At 34.8% G+C, this 17,407-nt stretch overlaps 1 protein-coding gene across 6 annotated transcripts in view; it reads left to right on the plus strand.

Moving 5' to 3' along the window:
• Positions 1 to 17,407, plus strand: part of ACSS3 (acyl-CoA synthetase short chain family member 3) — a 183,340-nt gene that overhangs the window by 136,226 nt on the left and 29,707 nt on the right. For 5 of the 6 annotated variants that reach the window (XR_944720.4, XM_047429549.1, NM_001330243.2 and 2 more), the window contains 3 exons: positions 2,805 to 2,900; positions 5,917 to 5,980; positions 16,961 to 17,042. Coding sequence is in view for 4 of the 6 variants with exons in the window: in XM_047429549.1 (XP_047285505.1) it covers positions 2,805 to 2,900; positions 5,917 to 5,980; positions 16,961 to 17,042 (242 nt within the window). In the remaining 2 variants the exon portion in view is untranslated. Of the gene's footprint in view, positions 1 to 2,804; positions 2,901 to 5,916; positions 5,981 to 16,960; positions 17,043 to 17,407 lie in introns of those variants that run through there. The other variant, XM_005269151.6, reaches the window with a different exon arrangement.

Below are 17,407 nucleotides of genomic sequence, written 5' to 3' on the forward strand. Positions count from 1 at the left end.
CTCACTGCAACTTCTGCCTGCTGAGTTCAAGCAATTCTCCTGCCTCAGCCTCCCAAGTAGCTGGGATTGCAGGTGGGTACCACCACGCCTGGCTAATTTTTGTCTTTGTAGTAGAGATGGGGCTTCACCATGTTGGCCAGGTTGGTCCCAAACTCATGACCTCTGGTGATCCACCAGCCTCGGCCTCCGAAAGTGCTGGAATTACAGGCATGAGCCACTACGCCCAGCCAGCAATAGTTCTTTTTCTAATCCTTTGAATGAATCAATCAAAATAAAGTCAACAAGACACTTGAATTACTAATGTTCAAAGTATAAACATATATTATCTACTTTAGGCAACCTGAATGAATAATCATTTTCAGCACCCTAAAGTTTAAGACTCAAATTAATTATATAGAAAAATAAGCTTTTAATAGTTGTCTTATAATCATAATGTATAAAAAAGATGAAGAATAAAGGTTATAAATAAATAATTACTATAGAAAGATGCTTGGGAATCTCAGGAGGTTCGTATATCAGCTTACTTAGGCAGTGAAGAAGGACAACGCTTCATTAATCCTTTCTTGCTGTCTTGCAGCTTTATTTAAGACTAGGTTATACTCTCACCTTCTTTTCCTACATCCCCCTTCTCCCAGTGCGATAGGAACAACAGAGTGATAACGTCTTTCATGAGAATCCACACTGTAAGAACTGTAGAGAGTTTGAACTCTAGGTAACTGGTGTGTCCCTATTGACAAACTGAACTTAATAAGAATACTTCTAAAATAGATTTACTCTAGCAGCTTCCTTGCACCAGGTAGTAGAAGTAACAAAAGCATCTTGAAGGTGGTATCTCCTTTCCTAATGTGTCTGAGAAGCTTCTCTTCCTATTATCATCTTATTTGTTCTGTGTACCTTCTTTTAAGCACCTCACTCTACAAGACTGCTTCCTGTCATCACCCTGCTCTGGTCTCTCATATCCATTTCGAAGGATAGCTGAGGTGAGCACCTGGACATTTCTGAAAAAACAGAGGGGGAAATGCTGTTAACACTTCTGACCATGCAGATGTCCTCCCTTGCTTTGATTATGCTGTGGGGAAAATCGGCAGGAGTATTAGATGGCTATGGATTGCCATTTCATAAAATACCTTCCCCCCTGCCCCCCACCTTTTTTTTTGTCATGCTTGGAAAATACTTTAGAACTCTTTGTTAAACATCAGAAATGTCTGCTCTGGTTACTTGCCGATGATCCTCAGCAGTGACCATATGGCTTAGCATCTTGAGCACTAAACTGTGACTTAGGAACTGTGTTTTGATGTTCAAGAGTTCATCCTCTGTTATTGATGCCAGCTGAGCCTCCATCCATAAAATGTGAATAATAAAATGAACTACTCTGGAAGGTAAAGAGCAGTAATAAATTCTTCCCATCATTCTAAAGTGATATCAATATGTGATAAATTATGGTAGAGCCCATGGTAGAAGGAACACATTCTGAGTACTTTAGAAGATGGATGCCTTTAATTTTTTTGGATTACTTTAGATATGATGGGTTTGGCAGTTAATTCCTTGGGTATATGTATGTGTAGGTTATGTGTGTAATACTAAGCAAGTAATTCCCAAACTTTTCACTAACCAAATACTATTTTCCTGCCCTTTCGTACATATATATTTTGTATTCAAAAGATTGTGTTAACTCCAAACTTGCTTTTATGAATGTTAATAAGTGCATCCCTCCATTAAAAATAACCACTTTCAGAACTTGTGGTAATCAGGTAATAGCTAATATTCTGGCTGTTACAACTTGAGACACAGAAAACAAATTTAGCATTTTTGTCAATCATTGCAGGCTAGTTGTGAGAAAGTTCGTGGTTTTGATGAAATAGTCAGCAGAGTATAGTCATCTTCCTCCCTGTGTTTTGGGGCTTCTAACATCCAGGAACAGCAGACTGAACAACTTGAAAAACTATTGCCAAATTTAGCTTTAAATGCAGGTTCTCTAGGCAAGTGTAGCTCTTAGGAAATTAGAGCATGATATTATCCATATATATTATATATTTTTTTAATTTATAAAGACATTTTATTAAAATGTTTTTTTCTGTGTGTAATCTTTTTTTATTTTTATTATTATTATACTTTAAATTTTAGGGTACGTGTGCACAACATGAATTAAACAATGAGAACACATGGACACAGGAGGGGGAACATCACACACCGGGGACTGTTGTGGGGTTGGAGGAGGGGGGAGGGATAGCATTAGGAGATATACCTAATGCTAAATGACGATATTATCCATATATTAAAAGTAATGGCAGAAACCGCAATTACTTTTACATCAATGTAATAATTTCAAAAATCTTTGGGTTACTTATTCCGGAGAATGAGCTAGAAATAACAAAAATGTTTTGACACAACTGTAATTAACAATGATAAACGAAATAACTTTAGGTGAGTCAAGAGAAAGCATCTTTTCTAGTGATCATTTTAGCTTTTAGTGTGTGTTATGGAACCGTCCAAGTCACATAATTTTCCATTCTACACGCCTGCTGATCCACAATTGCAAACGCTAGAGCAGCCTTTCTTTTCTTTAGAAGAAACACTACTATATAAATTTTTCTAATTATGAATTCTTAAGTTTTAATACTGTGGATATGTTATAAGTTACTAGATAGCTTTAAATTTTTAAATAATATATTTGCACTATTCATCTATTCCTAACACAGCTGCATTGTATGACAAACTAGGGTGGGGTAGAGTGTGCATGTACTCAAGAAACATTATGATTCCAAGTTAAAACATGAAGTGATAAATAACATTTCTTTTTCCAGAGACTGGATCTCCAATTACTGCGTCATGTGTTGGATTAGGCAATTCTAAAACACCTCCACCAGGGCAAGCAGGAAAAAGCGTCCCAGGATACAATGGTAAGGAATGACCCTGATAATACGTAAAGTTAATAAATTTGGCATTTTCTTGCATCTAGTGTGTATTATGTTGCATGAAACAAACTAGGGGCTTAATTAGAATCTGGTTGAATGAATGCCTTGTATTAAAAATGAATGCCTTAATTTTTGCTATCAAAAGTATGTTGTGGATTTCCAGGATATGTTCTAAATGACTGTCATAACCACAAAAATAATATCATTAATAAGGTATGTTAGGAATATGGGTGTGAAATTACTATGAAGGAAACACCTGCTGGGAGCCCAGTACTTTATATATGTCTTTTCATTTCATGCTGAAGTATATTTAATTCAGAGCTATCATTACTATTTTAGAGATGAGTTAACCAACTGGTTAACAGAATAAATAATTTTCTTGAGATAACACTGCTGGTTAGATCCTGGGGACAATGCAAACCATTGTCCTCAGAATTTGCTTGCTTTGATTTCAAAAGCTGCAGTTTCTTACTGTATATTACACATGCTGCATTTTAATTTAGGATTGAGGACAAAGTTTTTAAACCTTATTGTTTAATAATAAAAACAGGCCGGAAGTGGTGGCTCATGCCTGTAATCCCAGCATTTTGGGAGGCCAAGGCAGACGGATCACATGAGGTCAGGAGTTTGAGACCAGCCTGGCCAACATGGTGAAACCTCGTCTCTACTAAATATACAAAAATTAGCCGGGTGTGGTGGTGTGCGCCTCTAACCCCAGCTACTTGGGAGGCTGAGGCACGAGAATTGCTTGAACCCAGGAAGCAGAGGTTTCAGTGAGCTGAGATCGTGCCACTCCAGCCTAGGCAACACAGCAAGACTCTGTCTCAAAAAATAAATAAATAAATATAAAAATAAAAATAAAAACAAAGGGGGAGGATCCCAAAAGAAAACATTTCTTTGATGCTGGCTTTATGTGACTAAAAGCTATAATATCCTGTCAATTTTTGTTTTTAAATTTACAGTAGTAACCATTATTATTAAACAATTTATCTTGGATGGCTCTCTCTAGGTGTATAAATTATACAAGTCACATAACTTTTTGAACACTGTTTCCTTATTTCTAAATAAGAGTAACATTTTTATATGCTTTCCAGGGCTTCTGTTTTGTGATGTTATGCAATAAAGCATTAACACAGTGCCTACCAGTAGAAAGGCAGAATATGTCTTAGCTAGTAGTGCTACTAATATTTCAGAAAAGTCAGAGGACTGACTTGATTTAGACTAACACATTCATTTTACAGACAAGGAAAATGAGGCACAGAGGTTTTGTAATTTGCTTAAGGTCACACAATTTGGCTTAGTAGACCTATGAAGAAAACCTAGCTTTGGGAGACAAAATATGATTCCTAACATATGTTTCTTATTTGCATATAAACTACAAAATTCAGAGATTTGACTTTTGCTTCTCTAACATAAAAATATTGGATTTCCCTTCTAGGACAATGGCTAGTTACAAAAACGTGGATCATTTGGTTTAACCTAGCAGATACATTTATAAAAAGATACTTCAGATTTTTTTTTTATTCAAGGCGGAAATAGATATTCTGTGAAGTCAGTGACTTCTCCAGCCCTGGAAAGGTGAACCCAGATTTAGTGAAATCCTCTGTTTAAACAGTCTGTCATCTCTGCTCCTTTTATCAGAAAAAAATGTTTTGTGTTGAGACATTTTTAGGGGTTTCTGATGGTGGAAGACGTTAAACACATTTCTCTGTTAGTATTTCAGTGCCATTTTTATATCTAGTTGTAAGAAATAGTTAAGCTTTCTTCCCTCATGTAACTTCAGTACAGAAGTTTCTCAACTGGCTTGCAGACAGTACAGGTTAAACATTTAAAACCAAGGAATCAGTGACTTTATGACTGATAATTTTTATGTTTTGTGATTGTTTAGAGATTAAAATCATAATGTAATATTAAATAGTATAATAATAAAAAAAAACGCAGGATCCTTTTAGGAAAGAAAAGAAAATCCTTTTTGTCTAAAAAACAATTAATTTAATATAACACATTTATTGAGTACCTTATGCAAACTTGTCACTTTGCATACATTTTTAAAAATACTTCTTGCATAAGCACTATGAGAAAGAGATTTCTCCCATTTCATAGACAGGGAAACTGAACGGGTTACAGAATGTGCCTGGGGCATATAGTGATTTGGCCACTGTACTGAGATTTAGGGAAACAAAGATAAATTAGCCATGGCCTCCGTGAACTCACAATCTAGTTAGATACAGATACTTCTACTAACTGTCAATACAGAATTTTAAAACAAAGTGCTCCAGGAACACAAAGAAGGGAACAATTAATTTTTTTCTGAGAGCAACAACCTTCTTTTCTCATATCTGCTTAAGGTAGAATTACCTGGATGAATGAGGCCACATAAATAATCTATTAAAGCCTAAAAGATGATGACTTATCTTCATATTTAGTTTGCACCAAGGGTTACTGAATGTGGATACAAGCTTTAATCTCCTAAACTCTTTTAGGATTCTATCAGGACAGCACAGAAAGTATTGAGATAATATTTGGGAAGATTAAATTGACCAAATTTAAAGCTCCTAAGTGGATATTACGCTTTAAATCAGAATAAGGGGTTTTTGGTGCTTGTAAGTATTTTATTTTTGTTGCGTATATTTTTTGGTGTGTTTGAAAACTTCATTTCCTTTACTTTTTAAAAAGCTGAACATGTTTTTAATGCTTCTAATAGATTACAAGGGTATATTTAGTGGACATAGACATAGAGATGAAATTACCACGTTTGAAATATGATGTCTTCATTTAAGGGATATTCTGAAGGAAAATTTCTGATGTTATTAGGAATCAGATACATGTGCTCTTTATTTTTTTGTAAGATATTTTAGTTTATATTTGTTCATGGTCTCACAGGAATTAAAAGATTACTCTCTTAAGCTAGAGCTTTTTGGGTTGAATATAAAAATATAGAAAAATGTTTAAGCTTTAAGATTATGAATTTTTATTCAAATATTTATATTTTACTTTGTAGTTATGATTTTGGATGACAACATGCAAAAACTGAAGGCTCGGTGTTTAGGAAATATTGTGGTAAAGTAAGCAAAAATTTCAATACTACTATATTAAAGGGCAAAAACTGGTGTATATACTAAGAAAAAATGGGGTCATTGCAGTGTTACTGCTACTGAGGAAGTTGTAGAAAGAACTTGTGTGTTGCTTAAGAACTGTGTCAGCTGTGTTGTAATTTAAACATAGAAGCCCCATAAAATACGACCAATTTAAATGCAATTTTCAAAAACCACAAATTTTGCATATTTTTAAATAACTTTTTTTTCATTTTACAGGTTATGTATAGATGATAAAGTTAACTTACATACAAAAAAAATATGAATAAGTAAATAAAGTTCCTGTACTCTCACCTCTCAGCAATTACATCATTAACTTCATAATATACATGACTATCTACATTTTTTTGGTATAGATTCAGGGGTACATTACAAGTTCGTTTCATGGGTATATTGCATAATCCTAGGGTTTGGGCTTCTAGTGAACCCATCACCCAAATAGTGAACATAGTACTCAACAGGCAGTTTTTCAACCCTTGCCTCCCTCCCTCACACCTTTTGGACTCCCCAGAGTTTCTAGTTTTCATCATTATGTCCATGTGTACCCATTATTTAGCTCTCAGTTATAAAAGATAACATGCAGTATTTGATTTTCAGTTTCTGATTTGACTTTCCACTTTTTGACAAACATTTTACAATGGCGAATCAATTTATTTTTGTGTATTGCTGTTTTCCCTTAACCTTGTCTCATAAGCACATTTAATTTTTACTCTGTTTCTTAAAATTTTCATCCCCAGTATAGGCTTCTTAGCATTTTTTGAATTTTGATGATTATAAATAATACCATATTAAATATTTTTTCGTCTTGTTTTTCTGCTTTTCTGATAATAGCAATAGTATTGAAGAGATTTCTGGAAGTATAATTACTGGGTCAAACAGTATCATCTTATAAAGTTCCTGACTTAGCAAATATCCCATCTTCTTGTTAACATTTTTTTAAATTATTGTTCATTTGATAGGCAAAACTGCTATCATTTAAAGTGAAAATATTTAAATTTACTTTAATTACATCAAGACGTGTACTTTAAAATTTATATGCTAGTGGAAGCAGAAATGGAAGTTGATTAAGTTAGAAGGTTCACAGTATGTGACATTTTAATAATTGAAAGAGAGATTGCTTTAGTCCCTCTGATTAACATGATATTGACATCTTTACTGATAGAGTTTAAGTAGTAGAATTCACCAGATTGAGCTACTATAAATACAGAGCATCAGGTTTTAAAAATGATTTGCTTTCGTATTTATTTCTATTGGAAGTCAAAAGAACTCATTACTTGGCATTCTGAGATTGGTATAAGATTGCTTCCTGTAAAGAAGATATTTTAAATTCTATGAAAATTACATGGAAAACAGTAGTTAAAAAGAGGATGTTTCTTCAGGTAGAGATATTTTAACTATATAGAAAGCTAATAGAAAGCATACAAGTTATGATGTAATTCTTCTCATGCTTTTATCAGTAAACATGTAAGCACTATATTACTTTGTTAAAAGTTTCCATTTTAAAACAACATATCCATCAAGATGAAAAAATTAAATATTGAACATGCCATTTGTATTCGCAGTTCTCTGAGCCAGAATCTGTGTTAACATAGAGCTGGTTCAAATTTGACCTGTTCAAGGGAAAAGCAGCAGGGGAAGAAGGGAAGGGCTGCTAAAGAAATTAATAATTTGAACACGTTTGTGGGTGGATGTTTGGCTTGCTTAGGGAATAGAATGGTTTTTGAGAGCTTTTCAAAGCACTTTAGCAGCATACATTTTTATGTAACCTCCTAACTTTGTGAGTCATCTATTTCATAAAACAAGATCTCAGAGGTGGCATTTGATGCCAGCACAGTTTTAAACTCCTCATGGGTTTTGTCACTCTAATTATGGGCTGCTTCACCCCACATCCATTCAGAGATAATAAAATATAGCAGTGTCCCACATAAACTGTAATTTTTTTCTTATAGCCATTAGTGTTATTTCAAATACTTAAAAGTAACAACTATTGCCTTAAAGCATTCTATGGTTTAGATTGTCACCAATTCACAATTATTTTTTCCCTCTGTATTCCTAAAAGAATTTTATTGTGCAGATCCAGGGTTCTGAGATTTCATTATAAATTACTTGATGATGTAATATGTTATGACAAACAGTAGAATTTGATTCCTCTCTTAGGTTAACAGTGAAACTAGATATTTGAATATATTATAAATCTTTTTGTATTAGAAAGGTAAGGTAGAAATAATCGGAAAACAAAGGTTACCACCAAGATTTCTCTCTCTCCTGCTCTCTCTTTAACAAAACAGATTTTGAAACCTTTTTTCAGAAACTCCTTTTATCTATAAGAGCAAGAATTTCTTTTTGAAACCCACATTGCCAGCAGCCATTCCACTCTAACTTATCAACTTAAAAAGGATTCACATATTCCAATGGCTGCCTGCAGTATGTGTAGGATGTTTTTATATTTAACATCTATAACATTTCACATTATAGATCTTAAGACTCATTTGTGTAGGTTCATATTTAGAAATAGTAATATGTGGAAACAAACAAACAAGTAAACAAAAACCAAAGAACCTTTTGATCCACCTAGATTTTTCTACATTCTTCTTTATGACAGTCCGCAAATCACTGATTTGTTCTCCTGGGGACCCCTTGACTAGAAGTTGGCCATTTTAGCACTTCCTAAACTACTATAGGTCTTAAGATATAATAAAAAGGAATCCTGCAATTTTAGTGCTTTATTAGATTACTTACATTCATAGAATTTATCTTTCTAGTAGAAGTGAGAACTTCATGTCCACATGAATGTTAGAAAATTCTTTTGATTTGGAAACCTACTCCAGGCAGTTAATTTAGTAAGAAAGTTAAGGGATCTGAATTCCTATGCACACAAAATACTGATGAATTTTAGAAGGTATTCGTGTAATTGCATCCAGAGCTCCAAAGTGCAGAAATAAAACTATGAGTCAGTAATTTCCAGGCAACAGAGAACAGGGCATGAAAGAAAATTTTAACTGCAATTGCCTTTCTTCCTAGCACAGTGCTCACTGTTATTAAAGCCATAGGTCTCTGGCTCTTTCTCTCTGATGGACAAACGTTTTCCTCTGACCAGATCCATTGTTGCTATTGGAAGTGTGGCCTGTTCACCCTGTGCTGTGTCCTGCAAGCCATGGTGGGGTGCAAGGGAGTTGTATGGAATTGTCTGAGTGGCTTTTACTTTAGTGCCTGACAATTTCTCATTCTTCAGATATGGTTAACGATGCCTGTTCACATATTTACAGCTTCACGTAAATGATTCAGTCACTGCGTTGCCATCTTGGGAAAGAGCCAAGGAAGCTTTCTTTTCATCTGGGTATCCTTTGAGTATAACTAAGCATGTCACATAATTATAATCCTGCTCCTTTCTAAATCTCATATACAGTTTTGAGTGTGATATTTTATTAGCCTTATAACAGCACTATGAGTTAGGCAATGGGCAGACATTATCCTCCTCATTGTAGACATAACAAAGTATGCAACATTAGTAGTTGCACAGCTAGAACTCACATTATTGCCCAGTCTTTTGTCTGCCCTGAGGGAAAGAAATTATGGTCAATCTCTTCTGGGGAGATAAAAATAACTTCATATGAAAATCTCGAGAAAATCCTAAGGACCCCATAGGAAATACTGAGAGTGCAAAGTTGGGATTTAACCCAGATCTCTCTAGGGAACAGGCTTCAATTTATTTCTATTGCTATGGAAATTCCAGATGGAGAAGTGAAAAATAGACCATCTTTTATCTAGGATAGGAGGCATCTAGGAGTGTAATATTTCGATTGGCCAGGAATGTATTATTTTCCAGGGTGATGGACATCCTTTGTCCTGCCCTAGTTATTTAAGGATTGCTCAGCACTCTAATGCTTCCCTTCCCACATGGCTGTCACTGCTGCCTCAATTATTCACCTTTCCCCTTCAGAATGATCTTTTAGGAAAGGGAATTCTCTAAGAGGACTCTCAATTCATAATTGGATGAGTTGTACCAAAACTCCCTCTTTCACTCTGCTTGGCAGAATTGGGGAAGGTATCACGTGGTGATAGCATTTGCTTTCAAATTTGAAGGATGAGTATAGGTATTAACTAGTTCATTTCTTAGTATTTTTGCATCTTTCCCTTCCTTCTGCCAATCCAATGCACTTTTACATTCTTATAACTACAGAAAAAAATATTCTTTTTCTATAACTTTAGAAAAAGAGCTCCAGTGCACCCACTGTTCCAGAAGGAAGACCTTCACTTAATGTGTAATAATCCTTAGCAATAAGAAGAAAGGTGTTAATTTGGAATACTGCAACCAAAAAAATCTGCTGTAGCTCATATGCACCTAATGTCTATCTGGATCTTATTGCTTCTTTCCCCATGTTTTCTTTCATTGATCACATTTTCTTATCACATGTTTACATATATATATGCATATACATACATACATATATATATACACACACACACATGTGTGTGTGTGTGTGTGTGTGTGTGTATGCACATGCAGTAGTCCCTATTATCCGTAGTTTCACTTCATGCAGTTTCAGTTACCTGTGGTCGACCATAGTCCAAAGTTATTAAATGGAAGATTTCAGAAATAAATAATTCACCTTTTAAATTGCACACCATTCTGAATAGGTGATGAATTCTTGTACTGTCCTGCTTAGTCTTGCCAGGATGTGAATCAGCCCTTTGTCCAGTGCATCCATGTTTTCTACGCTACTGCCCGTTAGTCACTTAGTAGCCGTCTTGGTTATCAGATCGGCTGTCTAGGTGTTACAGTGCTTGTGTGCAACCAACCTTTATTTTACTTAACAATGGCCCTAAAGCACAATAGTACTGATGCTGGCATATTGTTCTAAGTGTTCTATTTTGTTATTAGTTGTTGCTGTTCATCTCTTACTGTGCCTAATTTATAAATTAAACTTTATCATAGCTATGTATGTATAGGAAAAACCTTATTATATGTAGGGTTCAGTACTACCATGGTTTCTCAGGCACCCACTGAGAGTCTTGGAACATATTCCATGTAGATAAAGGGGAACTACTTTGTGTGTGTGTGTGTGTGTTTCTGTATGTGTGTGTCTATTAAAAACACATGATTCCAATTATGAATCCTTTTTTCTTCTCCCCTTTTCTTTAGGAATATTGTATGTCTTCCTTTATGAGTCTTTCTTTAGAGATTTTTCTCAATATCCAAATTACCACATCTGATTTTTTAAGATACCACATCTTGTTAGTGAGGAACAGAAAGCATGCACTTATTTTATCCTATCAATTACCAATTGCAATTTCATATCTTGCTTTTCAGACTGATCCTCAGTTAGACTTGTGAATGATGAAGTAGTTTTCTGAGAGCATCTCAAAAATAACTTGGGACAAACACACATGCTATTTCCAGCAGGTCCACACCTTGGATGGGGATAAAAACTTCTCTTCCAAGCACTACTGGCAAGGCAGAGTTTAACTACCTTCTGTAAAGTTCACCTGATGAACACTTGAATCGTTGCATTTGATGTCATTTCATTAACTTAATGGAGTAGACATCATTCACTATCTTCCCTATCAGTATTCTAAAAATACTAAATTTCTTTTTCTTGTAGTTCACAAAGTGCTAGGATCTCCACGTGTCTGTGATCATAGTTTATATCCTTGTATCGTTAATGTGTAGCACAGTGCATGAGGAATACCAAACACCTAACAAATATTGATCGAAGGAAGAAAATGAATGTTTGTGTTAACGCATAAATAAAAGAGTAAATAAACAAGGCAATTGAATAATTCCTCTGGTGTTTTCTTCTCTACTGTTCAAATCTCCATCCTCTCTCTCCACTGGCTACTTCCACTCAAATCTTTCTCATACTAAATCAACCTGCCTTTGTGCATTAAGCCACTGACATATACATCTCCTTCCAATCGCCACAAATTTTAAAAAGTATAGTCTAACCTTACTGTCTCTACTTACTTCCTGTTTATTTCTTAATCAGTCTAGCTGTTGCTTTCCCCACTCCATTGAAATGACAATCATGAGAAAACTCAAAACATCTTAATTACTAAGTTCCATGATCACTGTTGCATCTGCTTTCAAACAAAATTTACACTTCATTTAACCTTGTTTAATACTAGGTCATTATTAAAACTGTATTCTAGTGGCTTCTTAGATACTACTTTCCCCTGGTTCTCATAATATCTCTGATTTTCTTTTCTTTTTTTTTCCTCAGTGGAGTTTTTTCTTTGATATTTCTGCAACACTGATATTTAGCCGTAGAACTATTTTTCCTGTTTTATACTCTCTCCACGAATCATCTCACCAATTTCTAAGATTTCTGTAATTACCTAGCTACACATAGTGAGCATATCAATATATCCACCCAGGCTCATCTGTCTTCTGATTTCAGACATATATTTATTGACATATTACTTGATAACTCCATTTATGATGCCACAGGTTGCTAAAACTCAGTAACTAAACAAATTATTTGTCACCTCTCTACTTCTACAAATCCCAAAATGCCACCTCTCCTGAAAATACTGCTTTTACTATATTGCGCTCTTTGCGTTGGCATCACTATTGATCTAGAATAGAAACTTTCTGTTTCCATCTAGAATATAAACTTTCTATAGAAACTTTCAAAGAGTCAGCTTTGATTTTTCTCTTTTCTTCAACCCTCACACTTAATTTTCATCCTCTTAAACTGTGGCTTCTTGTTATCCAATTCATCACACCAGCTTTAGCACTCTTTCTAGAACAAAGATCCAATTACATCTTTTGTTTTTAAAACACATTTGGTAACTTGGCTTTAACATGTCCCATTGTACTAGTCAGGGTTCTCCGAAGAAATAGAACCAATAGGATTTACACACACACACACACACACACACACATATATATATACATACACACATATCTATAGAGAGGGAGAAATATTTGTTTTAAGGAATTAGCTCATGCAGTTGTGAAGGCTAGCAAGTATAAAATTTGCAGGACAGGCCAGCAGGCTGAAGACCCAGGAAAAGTTGTAGTTTGAGTCTGAAGGCAGAACTCCCTCTTCCTACTGGGAGGTCAGACTTTCTTTTCTATTAAGTTCTTCAACTGATGGGATGAGGACCATTCACATTATGGAGGATAATCTGATTTACTCTAAATCTACTGACTTAAATGTTAATTTCATCTAAAAAATGCCTTCACAGAAACACCTAGAATGCTTGACCAAATATCTGGGTACCCTGGTCAAGCTAAATTGATGCATAGAATTAACCATCACACCTATTCATAATGTTGAGGACTATTTACACACACACACACACACACACACAAGTGTTGATTAGACTGAGCAGACCATTTATACTTGTGCACTCATTATTCACTTCATTTTGAAGCCCTTATTGCTATACCTTACATATTTTAAGAAATCAATATCTATTTGCTGATTAACTGACTGAATAGAAAGAATGAATGAAACAAAGAAACGCATGAAAGGAAGGAAGGGTTTAGGTACGTTGGTCACACAGCATGAAGTGTCTTTCCTTCTTATTCCTTTTTCAGCTTCATGAACCTATTCTTCAAGATCAAAATCATAGATCAGTTTCTGCATGTCAAATTCTTTGAGCTTACTCCTTTCTCATGTTTTCTTTTGTACAAAATGTCTACCACATATTGCATATATTGAATTCTTTGTTAGATGCCTCTACAGGACGATTTGAATGATACCATCACCTGCTTTTATCCTTTCACTATTCTGGGACCTCATTCTTTTAGTTTTATCTCTTTTATTTCTTCCCCCACTTCTCACTCTTTTTCTTATTCTCTTCGCTGCCATTTCCCAGCACCATGTGTCATATTTAATAGCAATCACCTCTGTAATCCAAAGGGAACCAGCTAGACATATGATGTCCCTCTATAAGGGTGGCTTTAATTCCAGAGAGAAAGTGAAGAGCTGAGATTTTCTATTCTTAATGATTAAGATTAAAGGTACTTTTGATATGATTAGGATGACCTATTTTTACCACTGAAGTACATTTTAGGTTGGGCTTTTCATTGAACAGAGGTTTTAATATTTGGTGATTGTTACCAACCTTCGAATAATTAGATGAAAGCCAAAGACATTCTCCTGGGAAACATACAGACAAGTTCTACGTTAAATTTCAGGGGGTTCAAAAGAGTCCTCAGTGTTCATGCACCCCATGGTGTGTTATTCTTAATCCCCAGGGTCTACAGGTATATATAAACTTACTCAGACCTTTCTTGTAAGAATGAGTGATGGTATGAAAATGTGTATTGTCCTTGTTCTTCAGGAACTTTGTGCAGATATTTAAAGTTTTGTGCAACAGCTCTGGAAGCCTGTGTCCTTAAGGCTTAGTTTTTTCTGGGAGACGACGTATGCTTTCATCCTGTAGGCATCAATTAATTATAAGAATATATTCTCTCTATTACAAATTGCTAGCACCTTATTTTTTCTCAGGAAGCAGGAGGAAATGCAGGTTAGCAGGACATCTTCTTTTAAAAATAGAAGTTGCTAACATAATTGACTTCTGGAAAGAATGAGATTTTCCCTTTCTCTCTAGTAATATTCTTTCTGTAAAATGCAGTCCTCTTGGTCCTATCTATACACTCTGGATTAGGTACATACTAGGCTACCAGGACACTCAGCTGTTGTAAAGAGCACTAAATACTAACTCATTTAGGTTATGATTGCAAACAGTTAGGAGTCTTTGCTGTGAGCAGATAGTGTGTGGATGCTGGTGGACCAAAATGTTTGATTTGGGGTACATAAAATGGGAAAAAAATACCTGTTTAATATATATTTTTTGATATGCATAGCTCTCATCATGGGCAATATTACATGTTCAGATATTTGGATCAGCACTCCTGTATACCAGCAATCAGGTGGAACTAAGAAACAGCTGTTCCCCTTGTACCTGGCATGTAAACTGTAATTTGCTTCAGACTCCACCATTCTCTATTTCCCTCAATCCATCATAAACGTCAGCTGCCATTGATTATCACAGATACCTCTTCTTTTTCTTTAGTATAATAGAGCAATAATTTCCAATACCAATGTATATGTCAAAAATGGCACCATAAAATACAGAAAAACCCTATATATCATTATATATTTCTTGGGAGCAACTGAAAATTGTCTCTTATTTAATATGCAAGCAGAATGAATCTTCATCAGGTTTATTATCATTTATTTTACATACAATTTGCTTCACTCACTAATGTTATCTCTCTTTGTCCATATTGACATGTGATTTGCCACTTTTTTCCTAAGATCCTCTTTGCTTTTTCACCTTCAGCATCCTGAAAGTGCTGCTAAGTTGATTTTTAGTATTTGTTATAGTCATATTCTATTTCAATGCTTAAAAAATCGATGATTTTACACTTTTCTGTCAAATATTAACAATTAAAACAAACTGATGTAGTGATGTTATTTGTATTGTTATTTACAAGTATTTACATAATAAGCTCAGTTAAGAGAACCCAGAGGGATTATTGGCTTCAACCTATTGCCTTCATACAGATTTAGCAAACAGTAATAATCACAACAGCAACAGCAAAAACACAACAGCATTTCTCTGGATTATTTTACAGATTAATTAAAATACCCTTACGTGCATTTTATGTAATTACATGAAGTCCAGAAATACTGATGTAGTATATTTCCTCTGTCTTAAAATAATTTGAAATAAAGAGCATCTAGCAAAGGAGAACTCCGCAGGATCACTACTGGGAGGCTGGACATTATAGAAGTGGGCGATATCTGCTGGGCTGCCCAAAGAGGCATCGGCAGCTGCTTCCACTTGTAACAGCATTTTGTTCCTGACAGAATGTGAGAGTAAAATTCAGTGCCATGAAGTTCTAATGTTGAGGTGGCCATGTGACCACACTGCTTTCTTTTGTACTGTCAGACCCGAAAATCCTGCTTGTGGGGAATGTGTGAGATGTCATCTTATGTGGACACTAGCCATCTGTGCTTCATTTTCAATTTTCTCAGCATGAGAACTACGAATTTACAACTCCATTTAGTATGTTTTTATTGTGTAAATGTGGGAGTGTAGGTTTTGAAAGCCCCTATGTTTTACAGTATTGAAAATTCCAAACTAAAGGATCTAAAAGGTTTCTGTGTTCAGAAATCAATTTGAGTGGTTGTCTTTGTTAGTAGGCACTTCCTACAAGGAACAAATATGAGAATTTCATTTATTTATGTAAACACAGATAGATACATAGTTAGATAAACAAGGAGATAGATAGAGGTTAAGCCCTTGCCATGCATATAACACCTGTTTGACCCTATAAATGAAAGAAGTATAAGGAGGAAATTTGCTGAAAACAAAAGATACATAGTTCTGTATATTTTCTACGCTGAAGCATTTCCATGTGTTTATAGAAGTGAGAAATCGCATAAGTCTGGATGATTATGAGAAGAAAAAAGAGGAGGAAGCAGTGAGAGAGAATTCCCAGCGGAGGGAGGCATATTGATTATGAAATAAGTTTTTACACTGGGTGCTTAATTAGAATATTCTATTACACAGAGAGACAGGCAAAGATGACAATATCTTAGTACTTCAAAAAATAAATTAACTTTTCAATGGTGAAATAATAGTTTTCTAAGAAAGTAATTCAATGACACGTTTTTTGGTTCTTTTTTTGCAGATATTATGTTTTTCACTGAAGCAATGCTTATTGCTAATAGTTATTTGATTTCCACATACTTGTGCCTTTTGTGCACTTTCCAGAGACTAAAGTCATTCTTCAACAATTCTGCTGTACAATGGTCAGCTACATAAACCTCTGTTAGACATGATCTGTCCAGCAGATTTAGGGGTTATATTTCAATGTAGGATTTGAATTGTAATTATCTGTCACAGTAGAAAAATAATAGTTCTAATCAACCTGTCTTTATTACCACTTTCATCATAATTTTAACTTCTCTGTTTTTATATAAGGTTACCATTGCCACCTGGGGCTTTTTCAGGACTCTGGAAGAATCAGGAAGCATTCAAGCATTTATACTTTGAAAAATTTCCTGTAAGAACTTTAATATGCTTTTTTATCTTCTTATGTACTTTTCTATAATTCTTGCCTATTAAATTGAGAAACTTGCTCCTAGAATCGTAGATCAAAAAGAAACTTTTAAAGGTTATCTGGACCAGTTTCCAGCTCCCAGGGATAAGAATGCCCAACTCATAATTATCTAAATACGTCAATTTTATAGTTATTGTCAGTCTCTAGACATAGAAATTTATTGGTTTTTCTTAGCAGCTTTTCCTAGAATTTAATAGTCTTCAGTATCAGGACATTATTTGTTACATAAAAATGTTTTTTGGACTTTCTGTATGTTTCCTCTACTGGATTCCTCTGTATCAACAGACAGAGAGCAGCAAATCAGAATT

Source organism: Homo sapiens, chromosome 12 (genome assembly GCF_000001405.40).
Source record: "Homo sapiens chromosome 12, GRCh38.p14 Primary Assembly".
Taxonomy (NCBI): Eukaryota; Metazoa; Chordata; class Mammalia; order Primates; family Hominidae; genus Homo; species Homo sapiens.